Source organism: Homo sapiens, chromosome 18 (assembly GCF_000001405.40).
Source record: "Homo sapiens chromosome 18, GRCh38.p14 Primary Assembly".
Classification (NCBI taxonomy): Eukaryota; Metazoa; Chordata; class Mammalia; order Primates; family Hominidae; genus Homo; species Homo sapiens.
Genome location: NC_000018.10, coordinates 37,309,365 through 37,323,636, shown reverse-complemented (window position 1 = coordinate 37,323,636; position 14,272 = coordinate 37,309,365). Strand labels below are relative to the sequence as shown.

The window sequence follows — 14,272 nt, the reverse complement described above, 5'->3', positions numbered from 1 at the left end:
GAGGGCGGGGCATTCCAGGAGGACATGGCAGCCTAGGAAAGGGTGAGATGCTGAGTCCCAAACAGTACTGGACAGGGAACCAGGAGCAACCTGGCTCCCTCCTGGAGCCCCTCTCCCATAGCCAGATGCCTGGGCGGCCTTCTGGATCTTTCCCTCAAAGACTGGAAAGGAGCTCGTTCACAGGGAACCCAGGAACTTCATTACGTTCCTCCTTCTTCTCCCTGTGATTGGAATTTGCTGTAACATGGCAGAGTTCTCTGCTGCCAGGGCTTGGGAACAAAGTATCTTGCTTCCCCTCAACTCCATAAGGGATGTCAAGTGGGGACCTGGTGGTGAACAATGACACCCTCGCCCCTCTCGGTGGGCTGGCCCTGGCATCCTCCCCTGCTGCCTCTGGCTACCTGTGCCTCCTTCCTTGTCGGCTGCGTCCTGCCTCCCATCTCTGTCCTTCCCGGCCACGGCTCTGCCCTTCCACTGGCCTTGTGCTCACCTTGCTGAGTCACAGGCACCCATACTCCCCCACCCAGTTGTCCTGACGCAGCCAAAACTCACTTCGAGTCCTAGAGCAGAAGGTAGGAGGAAGCTTGTGACTGGCTGGTCCAGCCGCTGTACGGGAGGGAATTGGCAACGGAAGGTCTCAAAGCGCAGGACAGACATGCAGAAATCACCCCACAGGCCCCACTTCCCAGCCATGTCCTGCCACGTGGTGGCCTTGGGAAGCACCTGAATGCCTCTTGGCCTCAGCCTCTCCATCTCTAAAATGGGGGTGTTTGTACCTGCCCCACTACCTCTCTGAGTCTGAGTTTGTGAGAGAAATGCAGATGCAAGAAGGGCTCAGGGAGGTGCGTAAGGGCAGAAGCACTGGTGAAGACATCAGGTCAGAATCCGCTGGCGTGATCCTCCTCACGTTTGTTGCTTAAACCACTCTGAGACCTCCGGGCTGTAGAGCCCACCCTGGTGCCTCCCGGTGAGCCCTGAAGCCAGGCAGCCAAGCCCGGGATGCTTGGAGTCCAGAGACCCCTAGTGCCCTGAATGGGCCATTGACACAGATCCCCGAGAGGGAAGAGAGAGGCCGGCGGCTAGGGGAGTCAGGCATTGCTCTCCTGTCCTCCTGGCACCCAGACACCACAGGGGACAAGTAGCTGTGCCCACTCCACGCACTCCCTGAGAGAACAGCCCTGGCTGCAATATGGAGCCCCAGCCCTGAGCTCTGCTTTAACCATGGAGCTGGACGGCCCAGAGCCTTGGCCACGCCTGACCCATAGGCCACTTCTGCGAGCTGGTACGGGCTGGGATCAAGCTGGATGCCCTGGCCTGGGTGGGGTCCATCTGCAGCCAGTGACCAGCTCATTTCCATAAAGGCAGATGTTTGAGTGAACCAGGGCTGAGCCAAGGGTGTGCTTTGGTGACACAAAGGCCTGTGTGACACAGAGGGACAGGCCAGCATTTCTGTCAACCTCAGATTCTGATATCAAAGGCTAGTAGGAGCTGCTGCTCGGAGTAGGAGGAGGAGGCATCTCAAAGTCTCCTGTCCAGAGACACCCCCCTGAAAGAATGGGGCCATGGGGCCGTGCCGTCGAGGGGAGACGGGCAGCACTTTGGTGAAGGTGTGTGTGCTTGCAGCAGCATGTTGTGGGAGCGCGTGTCTGTGGGTGCAGTCTGTATACTCGCATTCACCTGTGCACCTGAGTGCTGGGTGTCTGTCCCCTCACCCGCAGGCCTGCTATAATGCTGTCCCCCTCTGCTCTGTTGCAGATGAACCGGCCGATCCAGGTGAAGCCTGCGGACAGCGAGAGCCGAGGAGGTAGTAGCTGCCTGCGCCAGCCCCCTTCACGTGAGGGCCCACTTGTCTCTGCCCCTCCCCCTCCCCCTCTCACTCCTCCCTCCTTTTCCCGACGCAGCAAGGCGATGCAGCGACTCCCCGCCTCCTCCTCTTGCCCCTCTGGGGATCTCGTGGCTGAGGGTTGGGGACAGAGCTTTGGAGCTCTGGGTGACTGGTGTGGAGAGAGACAGGAGGGAAGGGGGGTGTTTGGGGTCTTCCAGACGGTGCGGTTTATGCGTCTCTGAGTAAACAAGTGCCATGTCCCAGGATATTCTTCTCCCCTCCATTAAAACACCCAAAAGGGTGTGCCCACCTCGATGTGGACAAGGAAAACCCCACCGTGATGGGGCTTGTGCAGTTAGAAGGGAGACAAGAAGTGGTCACAGCTGTGCTGTAGGAGGATTCAGGCCAAGGAGGCAAATCTGAGTGGTCCATGGGAGTGTGGGCACTCAAGGCCAGCACTGAGGCAGAGATCCTGGAGATAGAGGCAGGCAGTCAGACAGGTGTCTGGAAAGGGACAGAGGGGAAGGACACAGCCTCACTCCACAGACGCTTGTCCTAGAATGTGGAGCCCACTGGAGACTGGCCGTGGAGAGCCTGAGTAAGGGAATGCAGCACCTTGAGGCTCACCGCTGGAAGGGTTAGGCAGACGGCCAGCCAGGGGCAGCTCCGTCACCAAGTGACAGCATCCTCTTGGCACAGTGCCTGTGTGTCTGTACTGCCCCCCCCATCCCAGCCACAGGGTTAACCAGGGCCCACCCTAGGCACAGCCCTGGCCCTAGGCTCCCCTAGATGAGATTCAAACATACTCTGACATTAAAAGAAAATGAAAGGCAAGGACATGGCAAAGAAAATACATCCAGCATCCAAGATCAGGCCTCCCCTACCCGGGCACCAGCTCCTCCTGCAACAAACTGCCCCAGTGATACAGAGCCCATCACACCTCACCTGTGGGAGAGAAACAGACTCCCCAGCCCCATAGGGTAGAAGAATGTGCAGGCCCCTGCCAGGTGCCCTCTTCCTGGCCCACCTCCTTGGGAGAAGGGCATTGTCCTTCTTGATCACTAGTCCCCGGCACTCACACTGAGCCTCATCCCCTCTGGGCCCTGCCCAGACGTTGCTCTGAACTGAGCTCTCAGCCACTTCCCCGGAGAAGGGGGCCAAACGGAGGCTCCGAGCAGGTGAAGGACCCCCGAGTAGAGACTCTGTCCTCTCCACCATCTAGGGCCCCCAGCCCAAGTTCCCACAGAGGCACAGCCAGGCAGTGAGCCAAACAGCCATACAGAAGTGAGACACTCCCAGAGGACAGACGGGCGGTGGCTTCCTACCTCCAGCCTCCTCCCACTATGGGAGAGACCTTGGCTGCTCTTCCGCCAGAGACAGGAGCAGCCCGGAAAGGGTTTAGAAAAATTGAGAACACCCATGAGGCCACCAAGGGGAGCGTAAGGAGTTGGGGCCTTTTTTTTTTTTTTTTTTTTTGAGATGGAGTCTCACTCTGTCGCCCAGGCTGGAGTGCAGTGGTGTGATCTCGGCTCACTGCAAGCTCCGCCTCCCGGGTTCACGCCATTCTCCTGCCTCAGCCTCCTCAGCAGCTGGGACTACAGGCGCATGCCGCCACACCCAGCTAATTTTTGTATTTTTAGTAGAGATGGGGTTTCACTGTGTTAGCCAGGATGGTCTCAATCTCCGGACCTTGTGATCTGCCCGCCTCGGCCTCCCAAAGTGCTGGGATTACAGGCGTGAGCCACCGCGCCCAGCTGGAGTTGGGGCCTTTTGTTGCCCTGAGAAGGTGACATTAGGTACAGCCTCCAAGGTGGCCCCAGCCTACCCTTCCCCCCGCCAGGGCTGGGGTGTCCAGCATGAGGGCCCAGGTAGTAAGATGGGACAGCCAGTCGCAGCTGCCCTCCACCTCCCAGCCAGGAGCTCTTGGCTTCTGCCAACCCTGCCACACCCTGGGCTCTGGCCCAAGTGTCCCTGTTCACCACCCTCCCCTGGCCCAGGCCCAGGCCCAGGCCCAGTGCTCTGGGTTTCTCCCTGCTCTTTAGATCAGCCAGGAACCGAGGAATTTCTCTCCCCCTCATTTCTCAGAAAGTTTACCGGGAAATCAAGGGCAAAATGTCGAGCAGGTGAAAGCTACTTGCAAATTTGGAGAGCCAGTTGTCCTGGAGGGTGCTGTGGTGTGGCCGCTGGTGATCTGTTCATCCTTGGGGCCTGTGCCTGCTCAGAACACTCCTTCATCCCCTCAGTCAGGCCTCTGCCCTCCAGCCCCAGCAGGGCACTGACTTAGGCACAAGGCCTCTAGGACTCAGGCCCCCTCCCAACCCGGACCTCAGATCCTACCCACTAGGGCTTGGGCTGGTGTCTTGGGGCTGCCTGAAGGGATCCCATGCCCCAGGGCATAGACGCACCTCCTCACACCAATGGAGTGCTCTGGTCCTAAGGACCCCGGTAGTCAAGGTCCAGTTGGTTGAGGGTTAGAGATGCTTCAGGCGTGAGGGGCCCACGTGAGCGAAGCCCATGTGGTTTGTGCTGCCTGCTCCTGTCCCTTCCTTGGCAGTGAGAGGAGTGCCATCCTCACTCAGCCTCGTCCAGGGCACATGAGGCCCACAGCAGTGCGAGGGGTGTCTCCTGGAGACCGTCACCCAGGCACACAGTGACTCACCTGCAGCCCCCAGTTCACACGGCCCGGCCAGGAGGCAGTGACACACGGAAGCTGTCATGGATGGGCAGGAAAGCTGGGATAGTAGGTGCCAGCAGCAGTTCCGGAGAGGAGATCCCCCAGGCGGGGGCAGCCAGAGGCCTCAGGGGAGGTGGCCCTTCTGGTCTTGAAGGTGGGAGATCCCACAGCTTGAGAAGGGGGGATGGCATGAACAAGGGCCACCGACCCAGGCCTCTGAGGGCCATAAGGAGGTGCCATCTGGTGTGGAGCAGGCAGGTCAGAGTCCAGGCCATTTTCTCCAGCACTGGAGAGGGATGTCTGGAATCCCCTCTGCCCAGCAAGGCCGTGCTGGGCTCTAACTCAAACCTTTCTCTCCCTGAACTTGCCTCAGAGGCAATAGCTCTCTGACTCCAAGATGCTAACCTCATCGGCTTTCTCCCATATATCTCCTGTGGCTAACACTCGCCCCAAACCAGATTACTCAGCTCTTTTATTCTTCTTGCAGTAGAAAGTGGGGGGGGGGGGAGGTGTAGGGAAAGCCAAACCTAAACATCTTTCTATTAATTGCATATTCAATATTAAACAGTGAGATGGCCCTGAGTCAGCACTATCACCAAGCTGTGTGGTTTTTTTTTTAAAAGAAAGTTAGTTTAAAATAATTTAATAGCCATTAAATACTTCTGGGGAGAAGGGGAAGGGGGGAGAAGTGAACATTTTAGAAGATTAAAGAAATAGGCAACAGGAGAGGGGAATGGAGAGAAGGAATGGGAGAGGGGTGGAGGAGGTGGCATGACGGCAGCGGGCAGGAGGAGAGGAGAGAAGGGAAGGAGGTGAGAAAAGTAGAGAGGTGAGGGGATAAGCGGCAGGAGGAGGAGGGGGAGCGAGGCCTTGAAGACAGTGGGTGAGGGAAGACTGGGGCACAGTGGTGCGAGGGGAGCAGAAGCCAGCAGTGGCCGCAGAAGGAGGGGGAGGGTCAGCCCCAGCCCTGGCTCAGCAGTGAACCAGGTTACGAGTCCCCGAAACCCAGAGGACACAGGACACCCATCCACAGCTGCCCTCCAGGCACACTTGAATGCTCATAAGCAGCACAGAAAGATGTCTTATCTGCTTAGGATTTGGGGAACATGCGGGGCCTTTGGCCAGGGGGCAGGAGGAAGGCTTCTCTCCACCTCGCCCAGCACAGAGCAGGCTGCAGCCCACTGCATGGCCATATCGTGGTTCCACCTTCTCATCCCCCATCTCAGGCCTCTAGACACATTCCCGGTCACATCCACCCACACACATGAGGTGTGGGGGTGTCTAGGGATGGGCATGGCGGAGAGTTGGCAGGTCTGTGTGCACAGGAGAGGCTTTGTAACTTTCAGGGCTCCTGTCTCTGACACACATGGATTGCTGGCTGAGGCTGACAGGCCACTGTCCTATCAGGAGCAGTTCAGGGAGCTCTTTTTTCTTTGGTGTGAGGGCAGTGCCAGCCTTGCCTCTGGAGGGGTTGGAGTGGAGATACAAGTACAGAGGGAAGTGGAGCTGGCTGAGTGCTTGGCTGGAGCAAGCACCAGGAAGAGTCCAGGAAGAGTATAGGATGCAGTTCTTGTTTTTGTGGAAGGTTCTTATCCGGAATGAGCTCCAGCTGAGGCACACCACCTTCTCTGGGCCTCCATCTCCTTACCTGGGGGTCTCAGGAGTCATTATCCACAAAGCTGTTATTTACAGAACACTGACTGAGTGTTAGGGATTTTATGGAAATATGGTTTTGTTTTGTTTTTGAGATGAAATGAAACTTTGCTTTTGTTGCCCAGGCTGGAGTGCGATAGCACGATCTTGGCTCACTGCAACCTCCGCCTCCCGGGTTCAAGTGATTCTCCTGCCTCAGCCTCCGGAGTAGCTGGGATTACAAGTGTGCGCCACCACGCCTAGCTAATTTTTGTATTATTAGTAGAGATGGGGTTTTACCATGTTGGCCAGGCTGGTCTTGAACTCCTGACCTCAGGTGATCCTTCTGCCTTGGCCTCCCAAAGTGCTGGGATTATAGGCATAAGCCACCGCGCCCGGCCGGAAATATGTTTAATTTATACAGCAACCTCAAGGTATGGATGTTCTTGGCCCCACTTAAAGGCACAAACCAAGGCACAGAGAGGCTAGATAACTTGTTCCAGGGCACACAGACAGAAAGTGGCAGAACCAAAATTCCAACTCCTACCTGTCAGCCACCAGAACCCAGATTACCTATATTCCTCTCACTCCCAGGAGGGCTTCTCGGACTCTGGGTGGCCTAGAGGCAGTGGGAAGACACCACAGACATTTGTCTCACCTTTAGGCCCATTCTCAAGGTGGCTGAAGTGAGAGGAGCAGGGTTCCAGGTGAGGGAGGCAGGGCTAGGCTGGACAAGGAGCTCCCAGACCTACTCATGAGACATGAAAGACCAGGGTAGGAGTGGGTCAGAGAAGAGAGAATTCACTGTGGCCTGGAGCAAGCAGGAAGGGCTTCCTGGAGGAGGTGGGAATTAGGAATTAGATCAAGAGGTGGAGAGCTGGGATACAGTGAGGACACAAAGTTAAAATGGGGCCTCGAACACAAGGCCAAGGGGTTGGGCTTGTCACCATTGGAAGCAGGAGCACTGATCCTGGGCAAGAGATCACAGACAGAGAGAGGGCTGGAATGTCCCTGGGCAGGAAGAGAAGAGAGAGGGCCCCTGCTACCACCACCAGGATCTGGGGTTCCAATTAAGTAGGGAAGGAAGGCCAAAGAAGAGCCTCCCCAGGAGTCATCTGTCTGCATGGGGGATCCAGTTATCCCCAAAAGCACACTGGAGCAAGTTGTATTTAAACTCAGATTTATCCCCAATATAAGCAAACCAATTCATTAACCAGTGATGCTGGCTGGGGACAGAGCCAGGTGGAGAGCAGGCCCCTCCCTGCCTGCCCTGAACATGGCAGCTGGCCCCCTCAGAGGTGATGATACCTCCCTAGGGCATGCGCTGCAGTGTCCTATGCCTCCTGGCAGGCAGACACACCCCACCCCAAGACCCCATGCTGGGGTCTTGCTCATGCTGGCTCATGCTCAGCTTCTAAATGGAGTCTCCATGGGTGTCCCTAGGAAGCTGCCCTGCAGCCCTGACCACTTCCTCTCCTCCCAGGTCTCAGTCCAGGTGACAGGACAGTTCCCCCACCAAGGTACCTCCTGCAGCCAGGTTGTAGGGCCTCCTTTCAGGGAGTCAGAGATGAGGGGGTAGAGGCTCTGACTACCATGGCCTCAGGCAGCCAGCTTGCTTGGAAAGCTCCTGGGCTGAACGGATGTGTGTGCCCACCCCGCTTAGTGGGCCGAAGAGGATCAGCAGCCAGACAGGGGCCCTGAAGGAGGGGACGAGTGGCTGATACCTGGGTCAGGTATAGCAGACTGCAGATGCGTGCTATCTCCCCTGTGTCCCTGGGGAGGACGTTTCTTTCCCGCCTCCCTGGGTGCATGTGCGGAACTGGGCGTGTGTCTGCAGTGCCTCTGTCAGTGACCATGAGTGCATGGCACACTGGGGGGTGCTCCATGGGAAAACTGTGTGACAGCACCCTGGGGTCCTCCAGACACAGAGCAGACAAGGCCCACTTTGGCTAAACCCCAGTGTGATGGTTACTGCTAGGAGGTGGGGACGGTCTTTGATGATGCTGGCTGGGGTGGGGCACAGACTGGGACCACCAGGTTTTATCTCATCAACACGAAATGACAGAAAAGCCAGCAAGGTGGCTGGCTGGGGAGAAGTTAGAAACCATGAAGAGTTGGGAGGAGAGTCCTGGGAAAGAGGGGACTTGAGGACTCCCTAGGGGCTGCCACCTGCCCGTGCTCATCTTGTCTGTGTTTCTGGGCCTGTGTCTGCCTCTGTCTCTGTCTGTCCTGTGGGCTCCCTTTGTCTCTTTCTACCCAGTGGCCACATGAGAACCAAGTGGAAGCTCTGTTCAGCAGGGCCTTGGGGATAACAGGCCCAACTCTTGTCTCCCAAGGCACAGGCTTGGGAGGGAGCGGGTCTAGCACTGGGGAGTCCATCCAGAGGGAACACAGCAAGAAAGAAAACCACCTTCCAGGGTCTGCCACCCTCTCCAGGAACCCAGAACTGAAAAGCACACGACACACAGACACACACAGGTGGCCACCTGCACAGCAGAATCGGGCCCGATTGCATAGAGAAGCTGCCAGATGAAACCACCGGCCGACAACACACTTCTGGCTGTGGCAAGTGAGGCCCGGGCTGGAGGTCCCACCACTGAGAGGCTCCCGAGTCTCTCCCTGGTCAATGGGAGCCTATTTTCCTTCAGGGGCTTCTATCAGGCCCAGGGCAGATCAGCAAAGCAGGCAGCTGAGAACTGAACCCAGGAGAAGCAAGGTAGGCAGGTGAAGGCAGGCAGGGCTGAGCTGGCCGTGAGAATGTCCTGTTGTTCCCCCCACAAGCTGCAGGGGAGGCTGGAGGACGGAAAGGGGAGCAGCCTGGGGCACCAGCCAGGAAGGGGGCCCTGGCAGGGTGGTGGCAGTAAGCTATCTGCAGAACCCCTGGGACGTTTCAGAGGGTGAATGAACATCTTTTATGTTCCCCTACCCTCCCCAAGTCCTGCAGAATTGCTCATCTTCCTCCCTTGGCCTCTGTATCTGGACCTGGGAGCCCATGCCCGTGTATCTTTCTTTCCTTTTCTTTCTTTCTTTTTCTGTCTGTCTTTCTTTCTTTTGAGACAGTCTCACTCTGTCACCCAGGCTGGAGCGCAGTGGTGCTATCTAGGCTCACTGCAACCTCCACCTCCCAGGTTTAAGCGATCCTCCTGCCGCAGCCCCCAGAGTAGCTGGGATTACAGGTGCCCGCCACCATGCCCAGCAAATTTTTGTGTGTGTGTATTTTTAGTAGATACAGAGTTTCACCATGTTGGCCAGGCTGGTCTTGAACTCCTAACCTCAAATGATCCACCTGCCTCAGATTCCCAAAGTGCTGGGATTATAGGCGTGAGCCACCGTGTGGCCGGAAGCCAGTGTTTCTTCCCTCCCTGCACTCCTGCATCTTGTGTCTCTGTGTCCCTGTCTCTCAGCCTGTCTCTGGTGGTACCTGGGCAGGGTGAGGAAGGCATGAGAGGGTTGGGGTCAGGTGTGACAGCCTGGGAGGCATCCCTGAGACAGCTGCTGGCCAAGTGTCCAGCGTTCCTGCAGCCTTTAGGTGCTCCCAGCATACTTCACAGGGTCTTCAGGGCATCCCCCCTCACCATGCCAGCACTGATGTGGCAGCGGAGTCCCGCTGGGCCAGCTAATGAGGTTGGATACAATGTGAGTGACTGGGCTCCCAGGCCCTCCCTGAGGCCACGTTCCCCACCATAAACCCGTGGCCGATTGCATCCTCCTGGCCCCTCCACCATCTGTAGCCCTATCGGTTCCTGCGGCTTTTAAAATCCTATTAAATTCCTCATTACTCCTCCGAGCATTATTTTATTTCTAAACAGACACAGACAATGTGTTGTCTGCAAGGGCTTCAAGGGCCCCACCAGCTGTGGAGTGCGGGCCTGGGTGGGGGCAGCGTCCAGTGGCTGCGGTGGGACAGGCTCTGGGGCATGGCTGGGGAGACCCCTAGCCACAACTGCTGACTTTTGGTACTGGGTTTCTCCCTTCCAGAATCTTCTAGCTATTCTCTCCCACACTAGGAAGGCAGTTTAGCGAGTGTGCAGATGAACTGGATGTGCAAGCTGGCCCCGCTTTACAAAAATTCAATATACAGAAGTGTCAATTTTCCAATCTTAGGAGTCAGCGAGTGACTCACTGGACAAAAGCATCTGGGTGCACAGAAACTTCTCAGAGCTCTGCTGAGGAAGCCCTCGGCCCAGGCAGGAGGGGCTGCAGAGAAACATCCAGAGGGCTGGGACCACAGCACGTTGAAAATTAATCTGAAATTACGCTGAGTCCATAAGAAACTAAGAGCCTCCTCCCAGGTCCAGCATGTCCTTACCCATTGATTTGGTGTTGGTTTGGACTCTGCCTGGGAGACCCTGGGATGAGCAGAGCTAACCCCACCCCAGCATGGAGGGTGCAGTCTGAGAGAGAAGGCGTCCAGTGACTGAAGGAGAAGGAGTCTGCCCCTCAGAGCCGGAGACCCCCACCCTCACCTGCCCACCTGCTTCCACACTTTTCTGTCCCACAGAGGCCTCCGAAAGGTGGGCTGTGTGTGGGCTCCACTTGTGGCCCCTGTATATGTGTTTTGGGGGCTACATATCCTTGTTCCAGACCCTGCTCCAGACCTGGACGTCCACAGCTCATCACCATAGCCCTTCCACAGCCATGTCCTTGGCCAAGGGTCCTGGGGAGGCATCACAGGAAACCAAGGGGAGTTTGGATTGGGGAATAGTTATCTGCCCAGTTGGCCAGGACACAGCACCTCCTAGGCCTGGGGGGTGGGCAGGAGCCCTTGTGTCTACCCTACCCCTACCCTATGAGTCTGTCTCTCACCCAGCTTCCATTTTAAAACATTTTTAAGAAGTAAAACAACTCCACAGCCTCTTTCAGTCTCCTCTCCATGCCTTGGGCTCCTGCTTTGCCTGCCTGTCCTGCCCTATCCCCTACCTGAATTTCTCAAGCTATAGGTGGGCATGTTTTCCCTTGAACACCAACCAGTGCCAAGCGTATGTCCTGACAGATCTTTTGTATACTTGAATCCCAGGTTTATTGGGGGCTGATGTTTAAGAAATGACATTACAACACAAGAGGTTTGTGTGAGACATAAGACAGCATGGCCGGGCAGTCCGTGGTGCTCAGACAGGCGCTGTGCAGGTGGTTTGAAAGTTTAGGAAGGGCTGAAGGATTAGCAACTGGCCAGATTAGCAACTGGCCAGGCCCAGCTGCTCGCCCAGGGTATGACTTCCTTGATGGTCAGGAAGTTCTGTCACCTATCTGACCACATTCCCTGCCATTTTTGCTTTAGCATTTCCAGCCATTAGGTTCCCTAGATCACAGTGCAGCATTTCTCTGCCCTGGGGTTTTATTCTCAATGATCCCTGTTCCTTCTTTTTTTTTTTTTCTTTTTTTTTTTTTTTTTTTTGAGACGGAATCTCGCTCTGTAGCCCAGGCTGGAGTGCAGTGGCGTGATATGGGCTCACTGCAAGTTCCACCTCCCAGGTTCATGCCATTCTCCTGCCTCAGCCTCCCGAGTAGCTGGGACTACAGGCGCCCGCCACCATGCCTGGCTAATTTTTTGTATTTTTAGTAGAGATGGGGTTTCACCATGTTAGCCAGGATGGTCTCGATCTCCTGACCTCATGATCCTCCTGCCTCGGCCTCCCAAAGTGCTGGGATTATAGGCATAAGCCACCGCGCCCGGACGATCCCTGTTCCTTCTGACTTAATTTTTTTTTTTTTTTTTTGAGACGGAGTCTGGTTCTGTCGCCCAGGCTGGAGTGCAGTGGCATGATCCTGGCTCACTGCAACCTCCGCCTCCCGGGTTCAAGCAATTCTCCTGCCTCAGCCTTCTGAGTAGCTGGGATTATAGGCGCGTGCCACCATGCCCAGCTAATTTTTTGTATTTTTAGTAGAGACGGGGTTTTACCATCTTGGCCAGGCTGATCTCGAACTCGTGACCTCGTGATCCACCCGCCTCAGCCTCCCAAAGTGCTGGGATTACAGGTGTGAGCCACCAGGCCAGCCCTTCTGACTTAAAATTTAAGAGAATCTTTATCTCCTTTCTTTCTTAAGCCCCTTTGTAAAAATAAGTTTTAAAAAGCTAGGAAGCCTCTTCTATTTACACAACTGGACCCAAACAGCAGCTGCGTGAAGAATTGGTCTTCGTGGTTGGGGAAGGAAGTGGCTGGTGGGGAAGAGTTCCCAGAGAGGGCCCTGCAGAGGCACCAGCGGAGCAGGCACACATTATAAATACGTCTGTAACTCCTGCCATAGGTGCGAAAATATAATTAACTGCAAACCTGCTGAATTTAAATGGACTTTAGATTTTCAGCTGTGGGAGGGGGTGTTGATTGATCTGCATTTTGTTTTTGAAGTTTTTTTAATCCATTTGGAAAGTTAAGTTGAGACTCGCAGCTCCTCGACAAATTCCCTGTGGCCCCGGCTAATTTAGCAAAGGATTGTTTCAGGGGAAATGGGATATTAATCATAGCAAATGGGCTTCTGGATGATATTTAAAAGCTGCCTCATGCCTGTGTGCCCAGGAATAGGAATGACAGAGAGAAGGCACCACGGCCTTCTCGTGTCCCATCCCATCGCCACTCCCATGTCACTACCGTCTGGCCCGGCCACTATGTGAGCGTGGAGGAGAGAGACCCCCACTTCCTTGGGAGATGGGCGAGAGGAGAGAAAGTTCCCAGGCAATCCTCCCAGGGCTAGGTGGTGTCCTCCACACAGCACAGAGTGAGCCCTGGTGTACCAAGTGAGCACTGAGTGAGCCCTGAACGTGATGTATCCAGCGTCCCCCTGGCCCCGGCACACCGCACTGGGAACAGCCTGATAAAACACGGGAATGGCAGGGTGTGCAGGGACAGGTGATTGGGGGGAGGGACAGGAAGAGGGATGAGACGGCATGAACCAGAGAGATCAGAAGTGGTAGCACCTGCCTGGCCTTCAGAGGGGAGGAGGATCTGAGCACGGAAGAGCTCAAAGAGCAGAGCTTCCCGAGTGGGAAAATAATCTGAACTAAGGCAGGCTTGGAAGACCCCAAGAGGCCAGAATGGGGGGCCTACTTTGCAGGGGAGCAATGATTTCCAGAAGCTGCTTTAAATGGATACATTTAGGTAAAGGGAAGCCATCTAAAGCTTTTGGGCAGGGGAGTTATGTGATAGAAATGGAGTTTTGGAAGCAGTCGTCTAGGCCTGCTGAACTGGATAGAGGGAGGGAGCGAGAGCAGGCGGGGAGCAGGGACCTGGCTGGGCTTCACTGCCCGCCAAGCCCTCTGGTCCCAGTTCCATCCCCTTCTCACAGTGCTGTCTTGCCCCGAGAGCTGCATCATCCTATTGCAAAGTGGATGGTGACACCCCTTCGGAGCTGCCACGGGAGAAACATAGTTGGTGAACTATGGAATCTTCCTTGATGACAGCTGTTGAAGTTGTCATTTTATTTTTATAGTCCAGTCCATGGGAAAAGAGAGGAGGTGGCAGGGGTGATGACCTCTGGCAAGGTTTGATTGACAAGTGCAAATAGAAATCATACTGCCTGGGGCCACAGCTATATTGAGCATGTGAATTGCCAGAATGGAATGGGATAAGGAAGGCTTCCTGGGGGTGGTGATTATGGGAATGACAAGTCTACTGAGAGGACAAATCTGGACTGTGTCACAGGCAAAGGCATGAAAACAGAGACAAGCAAGGCAAAAATGTGGCATCCTAGATATTTCAAAGTAATGAAGAAATGGTTTGGCTGAAGAGCAGGGTCCACTTTCTGGAATAGAAAGACCCAGATTTGGTAAACCATGAATCTCATTGCTGCTGACATCCCAGGGCGCGCATACCTCTGCTCGTGCACACGCGCATAGTATCTGCATTTGGGGGACGTCGTCTCTTCTCATCCTCTAGCCCAAGCTTACCAGGCCCATCCTGGAGTCTTGTTTCTCTAGTTCGTTCTCCCATCCAGTCTTCCTGGTCATGCCCTGCCTCTGTTAGCGGGATCTGCTTTTTCCCTACCCAGCCCAGGACAAGGCACATGGGGACCAATTACTGCCTGTAGCAGCAGCTGCTAGGGCTCTGGAAGGAAGGTAAATAGAGCCAGTGGGGCCTCAATCCTCTCATTAAGTCACCCCAGAGCCTCCAATAAGAGTGCCTTGAGCCTTACAGCAGCCCTGCACA

At 55.4% G+C, this 14,272-nt stretch overlaps 1 protein-coding gene across 125 annotated transcripts in view, besides 1 other annotated feature; it reads left to right on the top strand.

Annotated features, from left to right (window-relative positions):
• Positions 1–14,272, top strand: part of CELF4 (CUGBP Elav-like family member 4) — a 322,955-nt gene that overhangs the window by 242,162 nt on the left and 66,521 nt on the right. For 66 of the 125 annotated variants that reach the window (NR_148519.2, NR_148522.2, NR_148518.2 and 63 more), the window contains exon 3: positions 1,756–1,804. Coding sequence is in view for 114 of the 125 variants with exons in the window: in XM_047437652.1 (XP_047293608.1) it covers positions 1,756–1,804 (49 nt within the window). In the remaining 11 variants the exon portion in view is untranslated. Of the gene's footprint in view, positions 1–1,755; positions 1,835–14,272 lie in introns of all 125 variants that reach the window. The other 59 variants (NR_148528.2, NR_148520.2, NR_148526.2 and 56 more) reach the window with 1 other exon arrangement.
• Positions 73–609: an enhancer, noted in NCBI's record as "H3K4me1 hESC enhancer chr18:34902991-34903527 (GRCh37/hg19 assembly coordinates)". NCBI's record gives its function as "activates a minimal SCP1, AML or CMV promoter by ChIP-STARR-seq in naive H9 embryonic stem cells {active_cell/tissue: H9 hESC(naive)}" and the evidence as "EXISTENCE:reporter gene assay evidence [ECO:0000049][PMID:30033119]".